This window comes from Homo sapiens, chromosome Y, assembly GCF_000001405.40.
Source record: "Homo sapiens chromosome Y, GRCh38.p14 Primary Assembly".
NCBI lineage: Eukaryota > Metazoa > Chordata > Mammalia > Primates > Hominidae > Homo > Homo sapiens.
In genome coordinates this window covers 23,434,122-23,455,137 of record NC_000024.10, presented here as the reverse complement: position 1 = coordinate 23,455,137, position 21,016 = coordinate 23,434,122, and the positions used below count along the sequence as shown (strand labels likewise).

The following is a 21,016-nucleotide window of genomic DNA, read 5'->3' as shown; positions in this document are numbered from 1 at the left end:
CCCATCTCTACAAAATAATTTTTAAGAAGTTAGCTGGGCATAGTGGTGTGCACCTGTGATCCATGCTACATGGAAAGCCAAGGCAGGAGGATCACTTGAACATGAGAGGTCGAGGCTGCAGTGAGCTGTGTTCATGCCACTGCACTTGAGCCTGGGTGACAGAGTGACGCCTTGTCTCAAAACAAAACAAACAAAAAAAAGTATGCAAGTGAAGCTGAGATCCTGGGCTATGGGTTATGTCACTCATTAGCTTTGTGAGAAGACCTAGCATCTGGGTGGATTAAAATTCATGGTCCAGGAAAACTATTTATTGTGACATGTCAAATACTTGTGAATAATTCAGCCTGAACTCCATACCAGCAAATGCAAAACATCTGTTGTATTTAAGAGCCCACTGTGTGCAGAGCCCTGTAGAGGAGGCACTGAGGAAGAAGCAGAATAAGTTGCACGACAGAACCAGGAGAGCACTGTGAACATAATTAACAAGTTCGCCTGAAGCAATGTAGGGAAAACATGAGAATATGTGCTATGGAGATAACAGTGGTAACCCATTGGCTTCAGCTAAGAAAACCTCCTAAAAGATAGGAGTTTTGGGAAGATCATATTAGAGAAACACATACAAACACATATTTTTTTCCTGATAACAAAGATCCAGAAGAGATACATACATTCTTTTAAAAAACATATTGTTATGGAGGGAACATTTCCCTAAAATTCCATCTTATTCCTAATTATATTTTTAGTACCTACAGGGCCAGAACACAATAGGTGTTCAATAAACACTAACTGAACTGAATTGTTAATGCTCTGAGAAGTGTGATGGCCTTGGCTAGACCTGATTTCTAATTTCTGCTCTGACATCTAGCAATGTGACCTTGGCAAGTTACCACTTATTCTAACAGTAAGAATTAACTGTGATAACTACAAGGAAGTGAACTCTTAAAATGTCAGCTTCCCCGCCACCATTCCTCTGCTTTCATTTTTTAAATTGTAAGAATATTTTATTAGGTCAGGTGCAGTGGTTCACGCCTGTAATACCAGCAGTTTGGGAGGCTGAGGCAGGTGGATCACTTGAGGTCAGGAGTTCGAGACCAGCCTGGCCAACATGGCAAAACCCCATCTCCACTAAAACTACAAAAATTAGCTGGGTGTGGTGGCACAAGCTTGTACTCCCAGCTACTTGGGAAGCTTAGGCAGGAGAATTGCTTAAGCCCAGGAGGTAGAGGTTGCAGTGAGCTGAGATAGCGTCACTGCACTGCAGCCTGGGAGACAGAGTGAGACACTGTCAAAAAATAAAAAAAAAGAATATTATATTGGCTACTGATGCTGGTTAGAGTACCAACTTAAAACTTCATACCTTTGGTTCAGGGAATTGAGTTCACATGTAACCAAATGAAACAATAATTTAGAAGACCATTTATTTTCTCTCAGTGCTTCTGACTAGAACAGCCTTCAAACTATACCCTTCATATGGGGGTAGCATTGTTGACACTCTTTCCAAAGATGTACTTTCCACATCGTCTTAGGTATGGAAAAATGACCTGTTTACAATCAAACTGGTCCCTTGGGCCTTTTCTTCCTCCTATTGAACTAGGAGCTCATTTCTCCATGGTGTGCAGACTGAGGCCTAACTTTCTGACAATTAAATCATGCTTTTTTGCTGACTTTTTCTTGAAATGTGAAACCTCACTTGAATTTTTTTTTTTTTTAGTTTCTTCTTTTAAATATCCTATTTGTTGGGTAAGATTTTACTATATCTTTAGTTTTAAATTCTGCTGTGTAGACTCTGGCAGCTGCCTCTATGGTGACAAAACAAGCTTTTTTTTTTTTTTTTTTTCATTAAAACAGGGAGATTAGGATTTTACCAGGCATCAATCTTAGCCATTATCTATAAATCAAAGCATGCTAATAATTTCCATTGCTTTACTTTTTAAATGACATTAACCCTTTTCATTTAGAATGTTCTGGAAGCACAATTAAGCCAAGAAAGTTTTCAGATATATGGCTGTATAGTATGGCTGTGTGAACTGTATGACCTTCACTGAGGAGGTTGACATAAAATACAAACACTTAAAAATTGAAACACACAAAAAATAGGTTAGCACTATCAAGCAGCAATCAGAAAAAGCCCCCAGGGTTCCTGGATATGAAAAGGCAGATTCCACAGGATTTTCAAGAGGCCTAGATTAATTTTTCCACAAATGAGAGCACGTGGAGGAAGGTAATGATAATGGTGCTCACACTTGTGATTCCCATACCAGTTTTTGTCCCTATAGGCTTACTGTAGGAGGTGTTCCCTACAGCCACCTAGGAAGTTGATGACCTACACTCTTACTTCTGCTTGCCAGGAGTAACTGAAAGCAAACACCACAGTCTGTTGTTTATTAGCTTTTAAAGGCTTGTTAACATTCCTTGTTAACAATTTCTTTTTGGGTAACCTTTTATAAAATGTGTAAGTAATGAGTGATCCAGCAGACAAGGCAGTAGACAATTTACCTAGATGCAGATATTAGAGAAAACAGAGCTTGCAAGTTAATCCTTGATCTTTCCTTGCTATCTCTAATTCCCTCCAGCTTTTACCTGACTTTTGGAGCTATGTGGAATCCTTTATTTTTTATTTTTTTAAAATATTATTGCCGTCAGGGGCTAGCCTTAGCAATGTCCTGGGAAAGTCAACCCTACCAATTAGAGGAGAGTAGATAAATCTCCTAAAACCTCAGAGATTAGTGAGCTTTGGATGCAGTAGGGATAACACAGTTAACTTAATACAAACAATATTATTTCAAAAAAGGAAGAAAACTGGACTTCTAAGGGTGAATTATTCTCACTGTAATAGAAATGGTTTCCTTTCAGGTTTTTAGCCTAAAAAGAGTAAGGCAAGATAGCTTAAAAGTATATAGGGTTTAATGTTTAATTCCCCTAATTCTGATAAAATGGCTTAGGTTTTTAGATCATACTTCCTAACTAATTTTCATTGGTGGAATACCTCTAGAAACTATTGTTTTGCTTGGCTTCTTGATACCCTAGATAATCCGGGGTTTGATGAAAAAAACACTAGTTGGATTTAGGGAGAGAGAAGATGGGGTTTCTTGGGTAAAGAAGCAGAGTGGCTGGATTGACTCAGAAGACTTAACTTGAATTTTTCCTCTTCATCCTCCTGTCATTCAAACTAATTACAGATCACATCAACTGTTAGACTAACTCGACTTCATTCAAGAAAGCTGACTGCCAACCCTGCAGGGTGACTACTAAGTAAATCTAGAGGAGATAAGACAGAGTGGGAGTTTGCCTAAGTAATCTCAGGGGAACAGTAAGCCAGGAAGTGACATCAGAAGAGGTAAGCAGAACACAGAGTAGGGAAATGAACACTGAAGCTTCTCCCAGAGAAGAGGATTCTAAGAGGTCAGCTGAGTGGGCAGGAAATAAGGCGAAGTCCTAGAACATAAGGCTTAGGGACTTCAGCCGAATCGATGATCCTTTAGAGGCTAGGAATGTGGACTCATCTTATCTATGCTCTGGCAATGGTCCCATCCTTCCATCCTCCTCCTCTGTATACTCCCTCTCTCTTCTCAAAAACACAAGTTAGTCTACTCTGTAAGTAGAGTCTGAATAGCTTATCTGCACATGATGATATCATATATTTTAGAAAAGGCATGAATCTTTTCTCCAATTGGTAGGTTAATTCACAAATCTATTATGCTGTATGCTCTAATCTGGAAGTCTTAGAACTTCTCTAAGTGTTTTTGTCAAAGACTGTTTTGCTCTACCTTCTATTGAAGACAAATGATGGCCACTAAAATGAGACTCTCTAGTGTGTCTGAACTAGATAGAAACTGTTCAAAGAAGGAATTACTTTCACAGCTTTTATGGCCCAACTGGGGACAACAGATAATGTGAATGAGACTCTAGAGAAGAAGAGACTAAAAGCTGCTCAGAAACCAATATGAATACAGAGAGTAGAGGTAAAAAGAATGATTAGCTGGATAGACCATAGTTTTAAAAATGTCCCAAAATAAGAAGCAGACTTCTTTCTTTCATACCTCTTGAAATTCTCCCATAATAATCTCATTGCTTGGGCCTGTTTCTCATAAAAGAACAGAATGAAGATCACCATTAATTCAGATGGCAATCCTAGAAAGGGACAGAAATCAGACTGGTTTTGATTTGTGAAATGTGTAGGGCCCTCAAAACACCAGAGACTGGCTTAGAAAAATCCCCACAAAAGCTTTCAACTTGAAAGTTATCAGGAGTTCAGGAAGGCACATAATTAAAAGCAAACTCCTTCTACCAAGTTTAAAATAAAACTGTGGCTCAGGAAAGCTGGGCCCAAGGGAAAGGAATGAGACCAAGTCACATGTCTGCTACCAAGGCTGAAACTGGTTTAACTCATTTTCCTTTTGGAGTTATGGCTTGACCCCACAGTGATGGGAAAAAACTTCTATTTACATTTTCTCCCGAAGAGGGAATAAGCAGAAGGAACATTTTATATTATGTTCTTGTGTACTAGCTGAGCCAGAGGAAAAAATTTGAGCTATTCTGGGGTGGTCTACAGAGAACCATCTTCTTTCCCTTCAGTGTTCTCAGAATATTGACTGTTGATGAACAAGCCAATGATGTGAGTGTGGCTGCAGCAAGGACCCTTCAAATTTTCAGAGGTACTGCAAACCTAATCATGGTCTGAGTTAATTGCGAAATAGTATAATTTTGTAACTTTTGAGTTTAAGAATCATTCTGGTTTCATATGTAAGTCCAAGAGAGACAAAAGTTTTCCATCCTTCTATCTTAAGGAAAAAGATTTCTTCATAATTCAAACAGACAAGATTCTTAGGAAACTTGAAATAAGGAGAATCTACCAGTCTCTAACTTTGAAGTGAAGCCTTCATTGTTCTAGTAATTTATCTGGGGATCCTGCATAATCTAGAAATAAATGTGAGGGTGGAACAAGAACTTCCAAGGTTTATGCAAAGATGTGACAGTAGAGGGCAATGATAATGAGGCCTATGCTGTTTTTTATATCAAAAAAATTAATATCATCAAATTTTCAATTTCATTAGTTTTCTATTGCTGCCAAAACAAAATTTAGTGGCTTAAAAACCCATTTATTATCACACAGTTTTGTAGGTCAGAAGTCTGCACAGTTCTGCTGGGTTCCCTCCTCAAGTACTCAATGGTCTGAAATCAAGGAGTCTGCTATTGGCTTTTATCAGGAGCATCTGGGGAAGAATCTGCTTCAAGCTCATCCAGGTTGTTGGCAGGAATCCAGCCCTGTGAGGTTTCAGGTACCCACAGCCTTGCAGGGTAGTGGCTGCTTACTGCTTGCAGAAGCTCCTACATTCCTTTTCACATGGCCCTTCTGATTTTCAAACCAGCAATGAAGCATTGAGTTCTTTTCGCACTTCACATTTCTCTGGCTTCCTGTCCATCATCTGCTGAGAAGGCTCTCTGCCTTCACAGGCTTATGTGATTAGCTCAGGCCCACCCAGGAAAACCTCCCTAACTTAGGTCAACTGTGGTATGTAACAGAACAATCATGCGAGAGCTATCTTGTCATATACATGGGTTCTAGAGATTAGGCGAGGACCTTTTGGGGAGGCATTTTAGAAATTCCAACTATCACAAGGATCTCCCTTATAAAAAATGGTCTAATTTATCTGTAACATCCTAAAAGAAACATCCATAGCACATGGCCTCTCAGCTGCACTAGGTGATTACATACATTCAGAATCAGGGCAATACCAAAAGTGCTGTCTTATGCAGGGAAAAAAACAGGCGTCCATGTGACCTGGTATACATATGTGTAAGAGAGTATACTTCCAAGGAAAAATTAACTTTTAAAAGCAAGTATTAAATCACATATGTCTTCATCATATTATATGTCTTGATTTGTCTTTACCGACTACTTAATACATATAGAACAAAAAGTTAAACATAGTCAAATACAGTATTTACATTCAGTTCATATTATAAATATTTCTGAAAAATCTCATATGCCAGATTGTGACTACCCTATCAATTTAAGGCATGTAAAATGTTAAGGCATGTAAAAATGGTATCATGTAACATCATCTCATATATTGCAGCATATGTCACTATATTTTAAAAGAAAAACCATTAAGTTCATTAAATGATAGAAATAGACTCATCTTTTGTTGTCTCTATTGTGCTACCTAATATTATTAGAATTTTAAAGCTCTTAGCATCTATGCAGACCTGCACCTCCCTTTTGTGAATATTCCCAGCTTCTGAAGAATTTCTGGATCTTTTGGAAACTCACAAAATGCACTCATTGTAGAAGGAAATATATGGATATATTAAGGCCTCCATAAGATACCTAAGGCAAGCCATTTTATATGTATAATTGAAAACTCTTGTGATTCATAAATGCATTTGCAGCCTCCGGCATATTTTCCCTCTAGCCTTTCACATGCTGTGTACTATATAGGATGAAAATGACCAACAGGGGAATGAGGAGCTCTAAAACTTGTGTGGCTCTAGCACATGGGTCACGTTTCTCACATTTAATATCTATGTTTACTTTCCCCATAGCTTGGAGTTTTAGGTTCACACAGATGTGTATGGGCATCTGAAACTATGAAATACATTCAGATGATTTAAAAAAAACACAGCCTCAGTGAACACCTGAGAAAAGAAGCCTGATCAGTCCCTCCAAAATATTGTTAGAATACAGCATAGAGTATATCGTAAATTTTAAAAGTCCTTATTTAGGCCTTAAATCCTACTGTTTGAGTTTCACTCCATTTCTCTAATTGAGATTCCAGGTCTCTCCCCACTAGCCTGTCATGATGTTACTGACCACCATTATACTTCTTTAGGAAGTAAGCTTTCCTTGAAGCCTGGGAAGAGATGGGTATTTTCATATGGTAAATGTCACAGTCCAGCAGCCTGTTTGGGTAGCAGTAACTTTAATTTTATTTGGACTAGGCTGTGAATCAAAACTTTTACAAAGGAATTAGTGAGGCTCTCCAGACCTCACATTTCATGAGGAGATAAATATTAATACTTGGGACCTAAGTAACATAGGGTAGAACTTTTTATTTCTGAGTAGATTCCACAGGCTTTTTCTCTTTTGATTCCCACAAAAACCAAAATATTAACTCATATATTTTGGAGTGACCGATATACTAGCAAATTGCAATAAACAGGAATCTGAATTGACTTGGGAAGACCTATGGTTAGCCTTCATGTTAGAAATAAGATTCTCAAGTGTGTGTGGCCTCTGACTCCTTTCCAGACGGCTAAATGGGATAGGAGCGGAGAGATCAAATCTCAAGCAGCAGCATTCATTCCCTGCATTTACATTAAGCACCTGTATGTGCCCAGCCTTGTGAGTAGTACTTACAGGAATAAAATCGACAATTACAGAATCTAAGACATGGCTCTCTGATCTCAAAGAGCTCTTCTTTGAGGAGGTAAAATATGCACACTCATAAAACAAATAGAATGTAATTCAAGAAAGTTGGCTGGGCGTGGTGGCTCATGCCTGTAATCCCAGCACTGGGAGGCTGAGGCGGGTGGATCATGAGGTCAGGAGATTGAGACCACCCTGGCTAACACAGTGAAACCCCGTCTCTACTAAAAATACAAAAATTAGCCGAGTGTGGTGGTGGGCACCTGTAGTCCCAGCTACTCGGGAGGCTGAGGCAGGAGAATGGCATGAATCTGGAAGGCAGAGCTTGCAGTGAGCAGAGATCATGCCACTGCACTCCAGCCTGGGCAACAGAGCAAGACTCCGTCTCAAAAAAAAAAAAAAAAAAGCAATTGATTAAATGCAATCAAATGTTAGACCATCTAGTACATACAGTAAATAAAAAGGGGTAGTTAGGAAAGGGAGAGACCAATACTGACTAGATATTCTGGGCAAGGCGATAATGGAAGGAACAAACTTAGTGGATACATCAGCTTGAAGTCTGAAACTGGATGGTCATGAAAAATGACACTATTATGTGTGACTTGTAAGTGATCTTACATAAGTTGGGGCCTTGAAAGGGCCACAGTCATCCCAAAGTGCTACTCTGCCTTGAAAGATGAAATTTAGAAGGATAAAGAACTGAAGCTTTCTTTGATTCTTCCACTTTCATACCCCTAGTAGGGAACTTGAGTCTTCAAATGCACAAGTTTCTTATTTAGGGGGCTAAACCACCTCCCAGAGCAGAATAGGTATTTTAAAATGTAGACTTTTGGGACAGGGGATGCTTTTGTAGTTTATTTTCTTGGTTTTGGCAGGGAAGGGTCTCCTCAGATGAGAAAAATCTCAGTAATTCAGGCCCTGCTAATTCAGAACTTGTTACAATTTAACAGGTCCTGAGTTTTATCATAGACACTTGTAAATACTAAAATTTTATATATATATATATATATATATAGAGAGAGAGAGAGAGAGAGAGAGAGAGAGAGAGAGAGAGTCTTGCGTTGTCAGAGTGTACTGGCATGATCATCGCTCACTGCTACCTCTATTTCCTGGGCTCAAAGTGATCCTTCTGCCTCAGCCTTCTGAGTATCTGGGACTACATGCATGCACCACCACACCTATTTTAAAATGATGTAAAATTCTGACTTTGGCTGGGCACAGTGGCTCACACCTGTAAGCGCAGCACCTTGGGACGCTGAGGCAGGAGGATCACTTGAGGTTGGGAGTTTGAGACCAGCTTGGTCAACAAGTTAGTGAGGCCCCAGCACACCTATAGTCCCAGCTATTAGGGAGGCTGAGGCAAGAGAATTGCTTGAGGCCAGGAGTTTGAGACTGCAGTGAGCCATGATGGTGCTACTGTACTCCAGCCTGGGTGACAGAGCGAGATCCTGTCTCAAAAAAAAAAAAAATTCTGACTTTTTACTAATCTAGGTTTGTTTGTTCCTGTTATTCTGTTACATTTTTCCTTAAGATAGCTTTTGTTGTCATCATCTCTCTTTCCAAGTCAGATTCAGTAGTCAGGGATACTGGTAATAATCTAGGAGCTATTTAAAGAAGAGACAGTAGTTTCACTAGAACAGTTACATGCCTTACTGGTTAAGGCTGAGGCTCTTGATCCAGATAGCTGGCTCCAGCATTTACTAAGTTATGTGATCTTACATGATTACTTAACTTCTCTGTTCAGTGTCCTTGTCATTAAAATGAGATAGTTAACTTGGTGTTTATGGTTATCAAACGTATTAAATGAGACAATAAATGTAAGTGCTTGGTACAGCACTGACAAAGAGTAAATGTTCAATAAATTTTAGCTATTGATATTACTACAGTCCTCCATACTTTTTTTTATTCTCTCTCGTCCCTCTTTGGTCTTTTGGTTCTCCCAATGTTTGTTGGCTGCAAGAGGAATAAGCTCAAATAAATTCCTCAGCACTCAAGTAAAGGGTTTTGATTATTTGTAGATTTTGATTAACCAGGCTAATTCCTACTTCCCTTTCTAATCTACACACATTTAAGGTCATTATTTTACTGTCTGGATGGATATATGTACTTTCAGACAACCAACTATGTAAAGTTGATTTTGGAAATCAATGCAAAACATTTTTTAAAATGCTATAATATACTCTCATCTATTTTATAACTTTATTTAAATCTAGAATATTTAACTTTTCATACAACTTTTAAAATAGCCACTTGCAATTTTATGTACAACTCCTATATGAAAATGTTGCTTTCATAATGAACTATGAGAGGTTAAAGTCCAGACACACTTTCAGTATCTTTATCTAATCATGTCACTGGTAGAACTCTTTCCATGCTGTGTAACCAAAGAAGGCTGTTGGATTTTGGAACTGTTATGAGAACTAACATTCCAGTTGTGGATAACCGTCACTCACTGCATGATAACCAGGTCAAGAATGGAATAAAAAGGAGGCTTAAAAGAAATAAAAAGCTGATGAAAGCCAACTCTGATTGTTTCCCTTTGGTCTTCTTATAGTAATAAATTGCCAGCTCACCCAAATATTAACAGATTAAGAAAAGAAATTAAAAACCAATGCTGAATAGTCTGGGAACTTTTCCAAACTTTAAAAAATAATCCCTTGTCACACAACTGGTTAGGTACTGAAGACAAAACTAGAATGCAACACAAAACTCATAACCAATTGACCCTTAACTAAATTTCTGAATCCTTTGAGAACTGAAACTCATCACCGTAACATAAGTTTGACCACAATACCTCTGAACAAAGAAACCAGATACAAGACCTGCTGTCTTCCTGCATGTGATTCCACTGGTGATGGAATAGGAAAGCACCATTAGAAAAAGAAACATATCTCTTATCTGCTGTGGTTACTCCTCTTGAGGTTTACTCTCAGCCCCTCCTTATGTTACATCTACTCCTTAGATAAGCTCACCACTCTTATGGCTTCAACAATAAATATCAGTATTTTTAGCCCATAATTTTCTCCCAAGTGTCAGACCAATTACTTTCTGGAAATCACTATCTGAATGTCCCAAAGTACCTCTAATTCGACATTCCAAAAGTGAAACCATTTCCCCACTTGACAGCGTTTAGCCTCCTGTGTTTGCCAACTCAATTTTGTCACACTATTTTTTTTTCTTTTTGAGACGGTCTCATTCTGTTGCCCAGGCTGGAGTGCAGTGGTACAATCATGGCTCACTGAAACCTCGACCTCCTGAGCTCAAGCTATTCTCCCACTTCAGCCTCCCAAGTAGCTAAGAGTATAGGCATGTGCCACAATACCTGGCTAGTTTAACAATTTTTTGAAGAAACAGTTCTTACTCCATTGACCAGACTGGTCTCAAACTCCTGGACTCAAGCAATCCTCCCATCTCTGCCTCCCAAAATGCTGGAATTACAGGTGTGAGCCCTGCACCTGATACTTATCATACCATTTTCTACCCAGTCACCTAAACCAGAGACCTGGTAGTCACTCCTGACTCTGCCCTCTCTCAGGCTCATCCTTATCCCCATTCTATCAATCCATATCTTATCAATTCTACCTTCTAAACAACTGAATGCTTCTCTATACTTCCCAGAAAAAATATCTCTGACTAGGCCCTTAACATTTCTTACCCGGAATACTGCAGTCAAAGGCCAGTGACCTGATCATGTCCTGACCCTCCTCCCAGTCCAGCTTCCACAGCTGTCAAAGTTATTTCTCTAATATGCAATTCTGAGCACAGCAACTTTACTTCAAATCTTCATTCCTTTATTCTTTATCCACAGGATAACTCCCCAAATGCTCAAAATTATATACAAAGCCTCACATGACCTGGGTTTGCTAAGCCTCCTGCCTCATTTCTTATTACATTTCTAAATATATCTTTTGTTCTAGCCACACCGACATGCAGCTCTCAGAATAATGCCATTATGTTCTCATATTCTTTTTCTACCTTTGTAATGTACTGTTTTCTTCTTTGTCCATCTACCTTCTATTGTTCTCCAAACTTCAGGCTAATGTATTAACCACATGACTGATCTAAAACACCCTGAACTTATGTCTTTATTAGAAAATTCACCTCCCTGGTATTCTAATTCTTGATTTTCTTTATCTCCCCAATTAGACTGCCAATTCTTTGAGGGCAGGAACTGTATCTTTCATTTATGAATTCTGGTGTCCAATATAAAGCCTACTACAAAGCAGATGCTCATAAAATGTTGTGGGAGGATTCACAATAGGGCAGGTGGCTTTGATACACATTTATCATGGAACTAAAAATTAGAGTAGAAGGGCAGGACACCGCTTGCAGGAAAGGGAGCTGATGTCTTCGAAGCTCCCAGTCTCTCTGGTCAACAAACCAAGACTTCAGATGCCATCTCCCCCAGCTCTATGTAGGACATGAGTTAACTAGGCCAGTCTCTACTAAGAATTCATGTAATGGTGCTAAAAACTCTCAATAAATTAGGTATTGATGGGACGTATTTCAAAATAATAGAACTATCTATGACAAACCCACAGCCAATATCATACTAAATGGGCAAAAACTGGAAGCATTCCCTTTGAAAACTGGCACAAGACAGGGATGCCCTCTCTCACCACTCCTATTCAACATAGTGTTGGAAGTTCTGGCCAGGGCAATTAGGCAGGAGAAGGAAATAAAGGGCATTCAGTTAAGAAAAGAGTAAGTCAAATTGTCCCTGTTTGCAGATGACATGATTGTATATCTAGAAAACCCCATTGTCTCAGCCCAAAATCTCCTTAAGCTGATAAGCAACTTCAGCAAAATCTCAGGATACAAAATCAATGTACAAAAATCACAAGCATTCTTATACACCAACAACAGACAAACAGAGAGCCAAATCATGAGTGAACTCCCATTCACAACTGCTTCAAAGAGAATAAAATACCTAGGAATCCAACTTACAAGGGATGTGAAGGACCTCTTCAAGGAGAACTACAAATCACTGCTCAAGGAAATAAAAGAGGATACAAACAAATGGAAGAACATTCCATGCTCATGGGTAGGAAAAATCAATATCGTGAAAATGGCCATACTGCCCAAGGTAATTTACAGATTCAGTGTCATCCCCATCAAGCTACCAATGACTTTCTTCACAGAATTGGAAAAAACTACTTTAAAGTTCATATGGAACCAAAAAAGAGCCCACACTGCCAAGTCAATCCTAAGTCAAAAGAACAAAGCTGGAGGCATCACACTACCTGACTTCAAACTATACTACAAGGCTACAGTAACCAAAACAGCATGGTACTGGTACCAAAACAGAGATATAGATCAATGGAACAGAACAGAGCCCTCAGAAATAACGCTGCTTATCTACAACTATCTGATCTTTGACAAACCTGAGAAAAACAAGCAATGGGGAAAGGATTCCCTATTTAATAAATGGTGCTGGGAAAACTGGCTAGCCATATGTAGGAAGCTGAAACTGGATCCCTTCCTTATACCTTATACAAAAATCAATTCAAGATGGATTAAAGACTTAAATGTTAGACCTAAAACCATAAAAACCCTAGAAGAAAACCTAGGCATTACCATTCAGGACATAGGCATGGGCAAGGACTTCTTGTCTAAAACACCAAAAGCAATGGCAACAAAAGACAAAATTGACAAATGGGATCTGATTAAACTAAAGAGCTTCTGCACAGCCAAAGAAACTACCATCAGAGTGAACAGGCAACCTACAAAATGGGAAAAAATTTTCGCAACCTACTCATCTGACAAAGGGCTAATATCCAGAATCTACAATGAACTCAAATAAATTTACGAGAAAAAAACAAACAACCCCATCAAAAAGTGGGCAAAGGACATGAACAGACACTTCTCAAAAGAAGACATTTATGCAGCCAAAAAACACATGAAAAAATGCTCATCATCACTGGCCATCAGGGAAATGCAAATCAAAACCACAATGAGATACCATCTCACACCAGTTAGAATGGCAATCATTAAAAAGTCAGGAAACAACAGGTGCTGGAGAGGATGTGGAGAAATAGGAACACTTTTACACTGTTGGTGGGACTGTAAACTAGTTTAACCATTGTGGAAGTCGGTGTGGCGATTCCTCAGGGATCTAGAACTAGAAATACCATTTGACCCAGCCATCCCATTACTGGGTATATACCCAAAGGGCTATAAATCATGCTGCTATAAAGACACATGCACACGTATGTTTATTGCGGCATTATTCACAATAGCAAAGACTTGGAACCAACCCAAATGTCCAACAATGATAGACTGGATTAAGAAAATGTGGCACATATACACCATGGAATACTATGCAGCCATAAAAAATGATGAGTTCATGTCCTTTGTAGGGACATGGATGAAATTGGAAATCATCATTCTCAGTAAACTATCACAAGAACAAAAAACCAAACACCACATATTCTCACTCATAGGTGGGAATTGAACAACGAGAACACATGGACACAGGAACGGGAACATCACACTCTGGGGACTGTGGTGGGGTGGGGGGAGGGGGGAGGGATAGCATTGGGAGATATACCGAATGCTAGATGATGAGTTAGTGGGTGCAGTGCACCAGCATGGCACATGTATACATATGTAACTAACCTGCACAATGTGCACATGTACCCTAAAACTTAAAGTATAATAAAAAAAAAAAAAAGAATTCATGTAATGGGTCCTAATGGGAAAGCTACTTTTATTCCCACAGGTTTTACTATTCTAGGAAGATTCCTTGGGCTTAACAATTACTGCTATTGATTTTCCTTGAGTGAAATAAAAAACCCCAAAAACAAATACACTCCTGGTTTTAATTAGGCAGAAAAAAATGGTTAACAGATTGCACTCTTAATTAGCATTGTTCATCCAAGTGTTTCTCATTCCATGACAACGGATTATAAAGAGGAGTAAAAATGGATTCCAGATTGGTAGTGCATCAGATGTAGTGTTGGATGTATAGAGGATATGATAATATGCTAAAGAACTGTTTGGTACTTGTCAGAGGAAGGCACAAAGCACACGCAAGAAGTAATTATCAACACTGACAGTCTGGAAGGCAAAGGGGCAGAATGTCTCTGGCTTGCTAACCAAAGTTGTTACGTAGACAAGCTCTGATGAAGGCAATAATCCTTTATCATCCAATTATTTATCAAATGTACCCTAATTAGTTTGTAGGACTGGTTATAAAACAAAGCTTATTGATTAAATGTTCCCTTTATGCACATTAATGGCTGACTGAAAAATATTATGTAAAATCTCTGTAATTTTTTGTTTTTGTCATTTTTTAAAATTGAGATGTTAGAACTGAAGGAATAGCAATCCAGACTAAATGGGAAAATGCTACTGATCTTGCTTTATAAATGCAGGTCAAATCCTATTATAACAAATACCAGTTCAATGAAAATGTGCCTAATTAAAAGATTCCCAGGGTTCAGCTGATGACCCACTTACTTCAAGATTTATTCAATATAATAAATATCAGATAAGCACTACAATTTGGACATCCTCTAGTATTTGTTTCCTTTAAATATACCCTGCATTGAAAAAATTTTAAATTAGCAAATAAGAAAAATTTGAGAATACTGACCAAAGATTACCTGGCTCTTACTTTTAGGATAATTTAAAAATGCTAAACCATCTAAATTGAGTAGTTCCTAATTTATAGAATTTATAAACGTTAGACCCAATAATATACATAGTAATTAAAAACCAAGAGCTACAAGTGTCTAATGTATTTGCAGTTCAGAATTTTTTCTTTAACTACAAAGACTCAAAAGAAAAATAATTTTTTTTATGTTGGAAAATTACTGTCAAAAGAAAGTTTTACTACTAATTGTATGAACCCAGCATCTTATATTAGGGTTATTTTGTGGTATGAGAAAAGAGACTGAGCTTTCAAATTCTCATCAATATCTACCTGGTGTGGTTCCCATTAGAAATGCAAGTGAATCTGAAAGTTTTTCCACTTTTCCTGAGTAACAAATCAGAGATGATCAGAGCTGTTACTAAGGGAACTTCTCAACTTTTAGACACAAAAAAGATACTGAACTAATGGAAACTTCATATGAAAGCCAAAAGTAGCAGTAAAAAAAATTATTTCATTATTTAGGATCAACAGACTCCAAAACAGCAATATTAGGAGCATACCACTTATAACAGTCATTCTTAGTGTCAGTAGGAGCGAGTGAGGGCATGCCAAAAGGATGGATGAAATTTTCTCTAGTGAGGAAGAGGGATGTGTTTGTTTGTTTGTTTACTTATAGACGGAGTTTCGCTCTTGTTGCCCAGGCTGGAGTGCAATGGTGCAATCTTGGCTCGCTGCAACCCCCGCCTTCCGGGTTCAAGCGATTCTCCTGCTTCAGCCTTCCGAGAAGCTGGGATAACAGGTGCCCACCACCATGCCGAGCTAAGTTTTTGTAATTTTAGTAGAGATGGGGTTTCACTATGTTGGCCAGGCTGGTCTCGAACTCCTGACCTCATGGTCCACGAGGCTTCAGCCTCCCAAAGTGCTGGGACTACAGGTGTGAGCCACTGCACCCAGCCCGGGTGTATATTTTTAAAAACCATGTTTAATAGCATAATTTTGTGTTCAGAGAATTAAAAATATTTATTATTTTCAAAATACAAAGTAGAGAAGGTAAACAAAAATCTTTTTGGCTGGTGAGGACATGCACTATCTTCTACATGAGTGATTTTTCATTAGGGAGTATATCAGCTGCTGTTACGAGTTTAAAAGTAAACATATATAATAAAGGTTTGTTTTCTAGTCACTGAAAAATCATCCTGCCTTTTGTTTTCTCAAGTTAAAAATAATAACTTGTTTGACTTACAGTTTATAGTTTGCCTTTACTACTGCTTGAACATTTGACGAAAGGTACAGTGTCCAAAATATTCTCTCCATGTGAATAGCTATTATTTTAAAATTCTCTCTGAGGATATTTTCCTTATATGGGGGCATTTACTCTTTAGCCCTGTTAACAACACTCAAAAAACAATCAAACTTTTAACTGCTGGCTGAAATTTCAATCTTCCGTTTTGAAGAATGTTGGATCAGGTGCTGTCCCTCTGTAACTCTGTGCCATCTCTAGAAGAAACTGTATGTATGTATACAAACAAGTCAAAGAAGTTTGGAAGAGGACAGTAAGAGAGCTGTCCTGACTTTAACTCTGAAATGCACACAGAAACTTCCCAGTATCTTTACTGTAAAGACTCAAGCATTTCCACTTTTCTAGAGAAATACAAAGACCCTGAAGCCCACAAGCTCTCAGATTCTGTGGGCTCCATGGTCCCAGAGAGTATGACTGGGATTTGAGAACCAGGCATAGGAGATTCAGTTATGGCCTGCCAATTCCCTCCCTTGGCCTATAAATACAGTTTCCCTCCTTCCTGCAATTTCAGTTTCCTGTGTCTCCATCAAGGATACATTTTGGACTCCCACAGCTACTTAAGCTTTTAACTGTCATCTTTGTCCTTTAGCATGTTCTTAAACTTGACCTTCAAATATATTTGAGACGTACTCCAATGTTGCTGGGAATATGGGGTTTTAGAGTCAGAGAGCTTGGTGCTTTAATCAAGGCTCTGCTGCTTACTAGTTGAGCAATGCTGGGCAAGCCATTTCTCTTCTATGTACCTCAGTTTCCTCATATGTAAAATAGGGATACCAATACCCACCTTTCAGGGTGGCTGAGGATCAGCCAGTTGCAACCAGGCATCAAAAGGCATATGAGCACAACACCACCATCACAAAACCAGTTGTTAAAATACACTCAAAACCAGTTTTTAAAGACTACCCTAATTAGTTGGACATGAGAGAAAATGAACTAGGTTAAGGGAGATCTTGCGAGATGAAATCTTCATTTTATACCCAGTCCTTAGTGTCAGCAGCCACCAAATGAGTCTTGCATATCTTTCTCTGACATTAAAGACATAAGCAACATAATGGAACATGAGTGGTATATGAAAATCAACATTCTCTTTATTATAGTCTCAAGTCATTTGGACACTGGAAGTTAGTTAGAGTAAGTTGATGGTATTGTAGGAATCCACAGCCAGTGACCACTAAAATTGGGAAGCAGTATCTTATTAAGCCGTCTATGTTTTAGTTTCCTGTAATTCAGATTTTCTCCCACTGTGACCTCTGTCTAAAAGGCAGGGATGAGGGGTGGTGAAACGAGGGTAGGGAGGTTGGATGGCAGCTGTTAGAAGTGAGACAAGACGAAAGCAGTACCTAACTCTAAGAAAGCAAAGGAGAAACAGAAAGGGAAAATGGAGGAAGATCACCTAACAGGTTATTGTTGACTGCTCACCACATTGCTCTGGAACTATGGTTATAGTGGTGAAGAGACATTAATAAGGGGCTCTTTACAACTAAAGGTACTACACAGTATAAGAGGGAAGGGAGCAAAGTTAAACACTAACTGAAGTAAGGTGTTCAGTTTTGCGGACCTCAATTGGTAGCCACCAAAAAATACCCAACAGCTAGTGGGGTGAAAGCATTCTGTGGCTCCTTGGGAAAAAGAGGTACCAGTCTATGTGTTGAAGAGACACTCCTGGAACTCGATGACAGTAACATATATATTGGAGCCCCTCTTGGTGCTCTCACAAAAACTTGTGAATAAAATAACTTCGTAACAATATTCTTTTGGTATTCTCATCCCTAGCTGAGGTCTTAGACCAACATGCCATATACCAAATTCCACTACATGGTAATTTATACTGGTAAGAAAGACATTGAAAATGCATACAAAATAATTGGGGAAAAAAACCCCACACTAGTCTATCCAGGCTTCTTGCAAATTTTCTCCCCATAGCTCCCTAAATAAGGAAGCTATGGCCGTCCTTCTTCTTACTCTGTATATACAGCAAAGCACAATCTAGTTCCTGAAAAAGTAACTGCTACATTGCCTGCTACCTAATATGCCCATCAGAGCTTCTCATCCCTTGCTATTGGTAGCAGTTGTTGCTTTTGTCAGCTTCCCACAGAGGAAGACACTAAATCAGATGCAAATGCCTATATGTAAATCTCTTCGCTGAGACATTCATTAGAGAAAATGGAGAAAAGTCCCAAATGGCTCTACCTAGGACATCGCAAACACCTCCATACAGCTGGTTGTCAATGGCCAAGAGTTAGTTCTTTGGCTTTTAAGCAAGAAATTTCCTGAAGGTACTTGGTGATTAAGGAGTAAGATTCCAAGTGGCCATAACTCCTTGCTCCTTGCTCATTTTGGTCTTTCTCACAGACAGACATACAAACTAGGCAAAAGCATACTCTACCTCACATACATACACACACAAATACACACACAGAACTTGCTAAACTGAAGTTTAATGTATATAGTTGTGTGGCCATTTAGGAGGTTTTTCTCTTGAAACATAGTATTGACCCATAAAACACAAGAAAGGCAGTGACTAAAATAGCTGTAGAAATTAAGAAAAGCCTTGTAAGATAAAGTGATAAGGACTGTAAAATCTTACTGTTAAGCAGTTTACAACTGATAGTTAAAAGCTAAAAGGCAGAAACTGTAGCCCGACATATTTAAGTCTGCTTTTACTTAAGACTACATTAAGTATTATGAACCATAACCTCTTGCAGAGAAACTTACAGGGTCTTTACTTGCAATTTTTTTTCCTGTACTGATTCCCATATGCTCTGAAGTCCCTTTGCTCTAAACCTAATGCCCCAAGTTATATATACACACATTCTCTACCTTTGACACAGCTATGAACATATGTAAATAAAAAATGCTGCTTAGTCAGAGCATCTTGGCAGTCAGGGAGGGAGATGCCGGGGGAGAATCAGACTGAGGTTTCCTATTCCTAGTGAATTCTTTACTTCGGGTATATAAAGAGGACATGGTTCCTCAGGATGCAGATAGACACGCAACCACTGGATTCTTCACACAAAGCTGGGAAATTTCCCCTTTAGGTTACCCTCACAGAATCTCTCCTTTTGACTTGATGCAAGATGACTTTGGATAGAACTAAATAAAGGATAAAAGCTGCCCTGTAAATTATAGTCTTGAGCTCTGAACCAGTCCCCAGTTACACAGAGTCTGAGTTCCATCAATATTTTCAATTCAGTTTTGACCACAGGTTCTCAGGACTGGTAGCTTACCGTAGAGGGTATTGTGCTGAGCAACACCTTTTATGCCTAGATTAAGTCCTTGATTCTCCTCAAAGCACACTTCTTATTGAGGCTTGCTCTCCAATAAAACCTGAGTGTAGGTTCCTGATGACACCAGATTAAATACTGGAGGAAAGACCACCTTGGATCCTGCTGGCAGTGAGTCTGGGATCTACTATCACTTTATCCAGAGGGAAGAAATACAAATCCTGTGGAAATCATGCTGTCCTTCCTTAGCTTGACTCCACTGGGCTGTAAGGCATTTGGAACTACTATGATAAAATCAGGTCAGACAACTTAAAAATCAAAAACAAAAAAACGATAAATAAGGAACCAAGAGTTTATAAGAAGGAAGCAGTCTGAGGAAGTCAGGTTTCCCTAAGTCCTCCCAGATGAAGCTGCTTTTACATATAAACACTCACAGTCATACACACATCTTTTCCCCTCCCCTCTTCTATTTTCTGACATTCCAAACTCCTATTCACTCAGTGAAGAATGCTAGAGAGGAGCCAAGGGCAAAGATTCACTTTCAACTCAGAATTCGGGTTGCCACTTGTAGGAGGAAAAGAAAGCCTGCCAGCTTCTAGGAATAAAGGGAGGCTCTTTGGGGGCATGCTCAGGGGCAAACCTCACCAACCTTCCAGTGTCCCCTGCCTCAGAGTAGGCAGCAGTCTCTAAGGCTGATTGCTCTGACTACTATGAGAAGGGGGATTTTTCAACTTCCAGATCTCTTAAGTAACAATGCCCAGACAGAAAAATTAGTCAAAGCACCTTCAGGCCCTTAATGTTCAATTTTAATGAGATGCCATTCCTGTTGCACCGTGAGGAAGCAAATTGAAGCTCTGGCTCACTGCAAAGAAAGTTATCTGTCCATTAAAGACATTACTGGCTGGATCTGTAAGTATAAAGCTTACCAGAGTTGCCTAAGATGCCACAATCGGGAAAATGACAGTGGAAAGTGGTATAAAGGTGAGGGAAAAGAAAGAAGGGCCAGAAATGAAGAGAGAAAACAGACAGTAGTGCAATTGCAAGGCTACAAGACTCAGTAGTACAGGGAAAATGAAATTAAAAAGAGAGGAATTTATTTGCATCGTGTTAAAGGATTTTGGATTTGACCTGGAAGAAACATCTAAAATTTAATCTTTTGCACTCTGTTGTTACCACTACACTAACCAAAATTTCTAGGCCAAATGTTTTCTAAGCCAACGGGTTTATCCCCAAAGTAACAACCGTCTTTTCTCTGGACTCTTGGAAACTCTAACCTGTTTTCCCTTTTTCCACATGAAATTTATACTTTTCACTTCAAACTTTCTCAACATGCTATTCTTTTCCCTCTAATTGCCTTGACAACTTCTTTACTCCTATGATTAACTTTGTGAAATTAAATCAAGGGAAGTGATCAGCTACTTGGAAGTTGGTCTGAGGAATATAGGTTGAAAAGAGTTTTACAAACTCATTCTTTTAGATTGAGAGTGAATCAGAACCCCTTTATTAGGGATCCTGGAAATTACTCA

The 21,016-nt window shown here is 38.8% G+C and overlaps 1 pseudogene across 1 annotated transcript in view; it reads right to left on the bottom strand.

Moving 5' to 3' along the window:
- Window positions 1-19,896, bottom strand: part of REREP1Y (arginine-glutamic acid dipeptide repeats pseudogene 1 Y-linked) — a 41,502-nt pseudogene extending 21,606 nt beyond the window's left edge. The window contains exon 1 of the transcript XR_938667.3: window positions 19,494-19,896. The product of XR_938667.3 is annotated as an arginine-glutamic acid dipeptide repeats pseudogene 1 Y-linked (transcript). The remainder of the gene's footprint in view (window positions 1-19,493) is intronic.
- Between the last annotated feature and the right edge of the window lie 1,120 nt (window positions 19,897-21,016).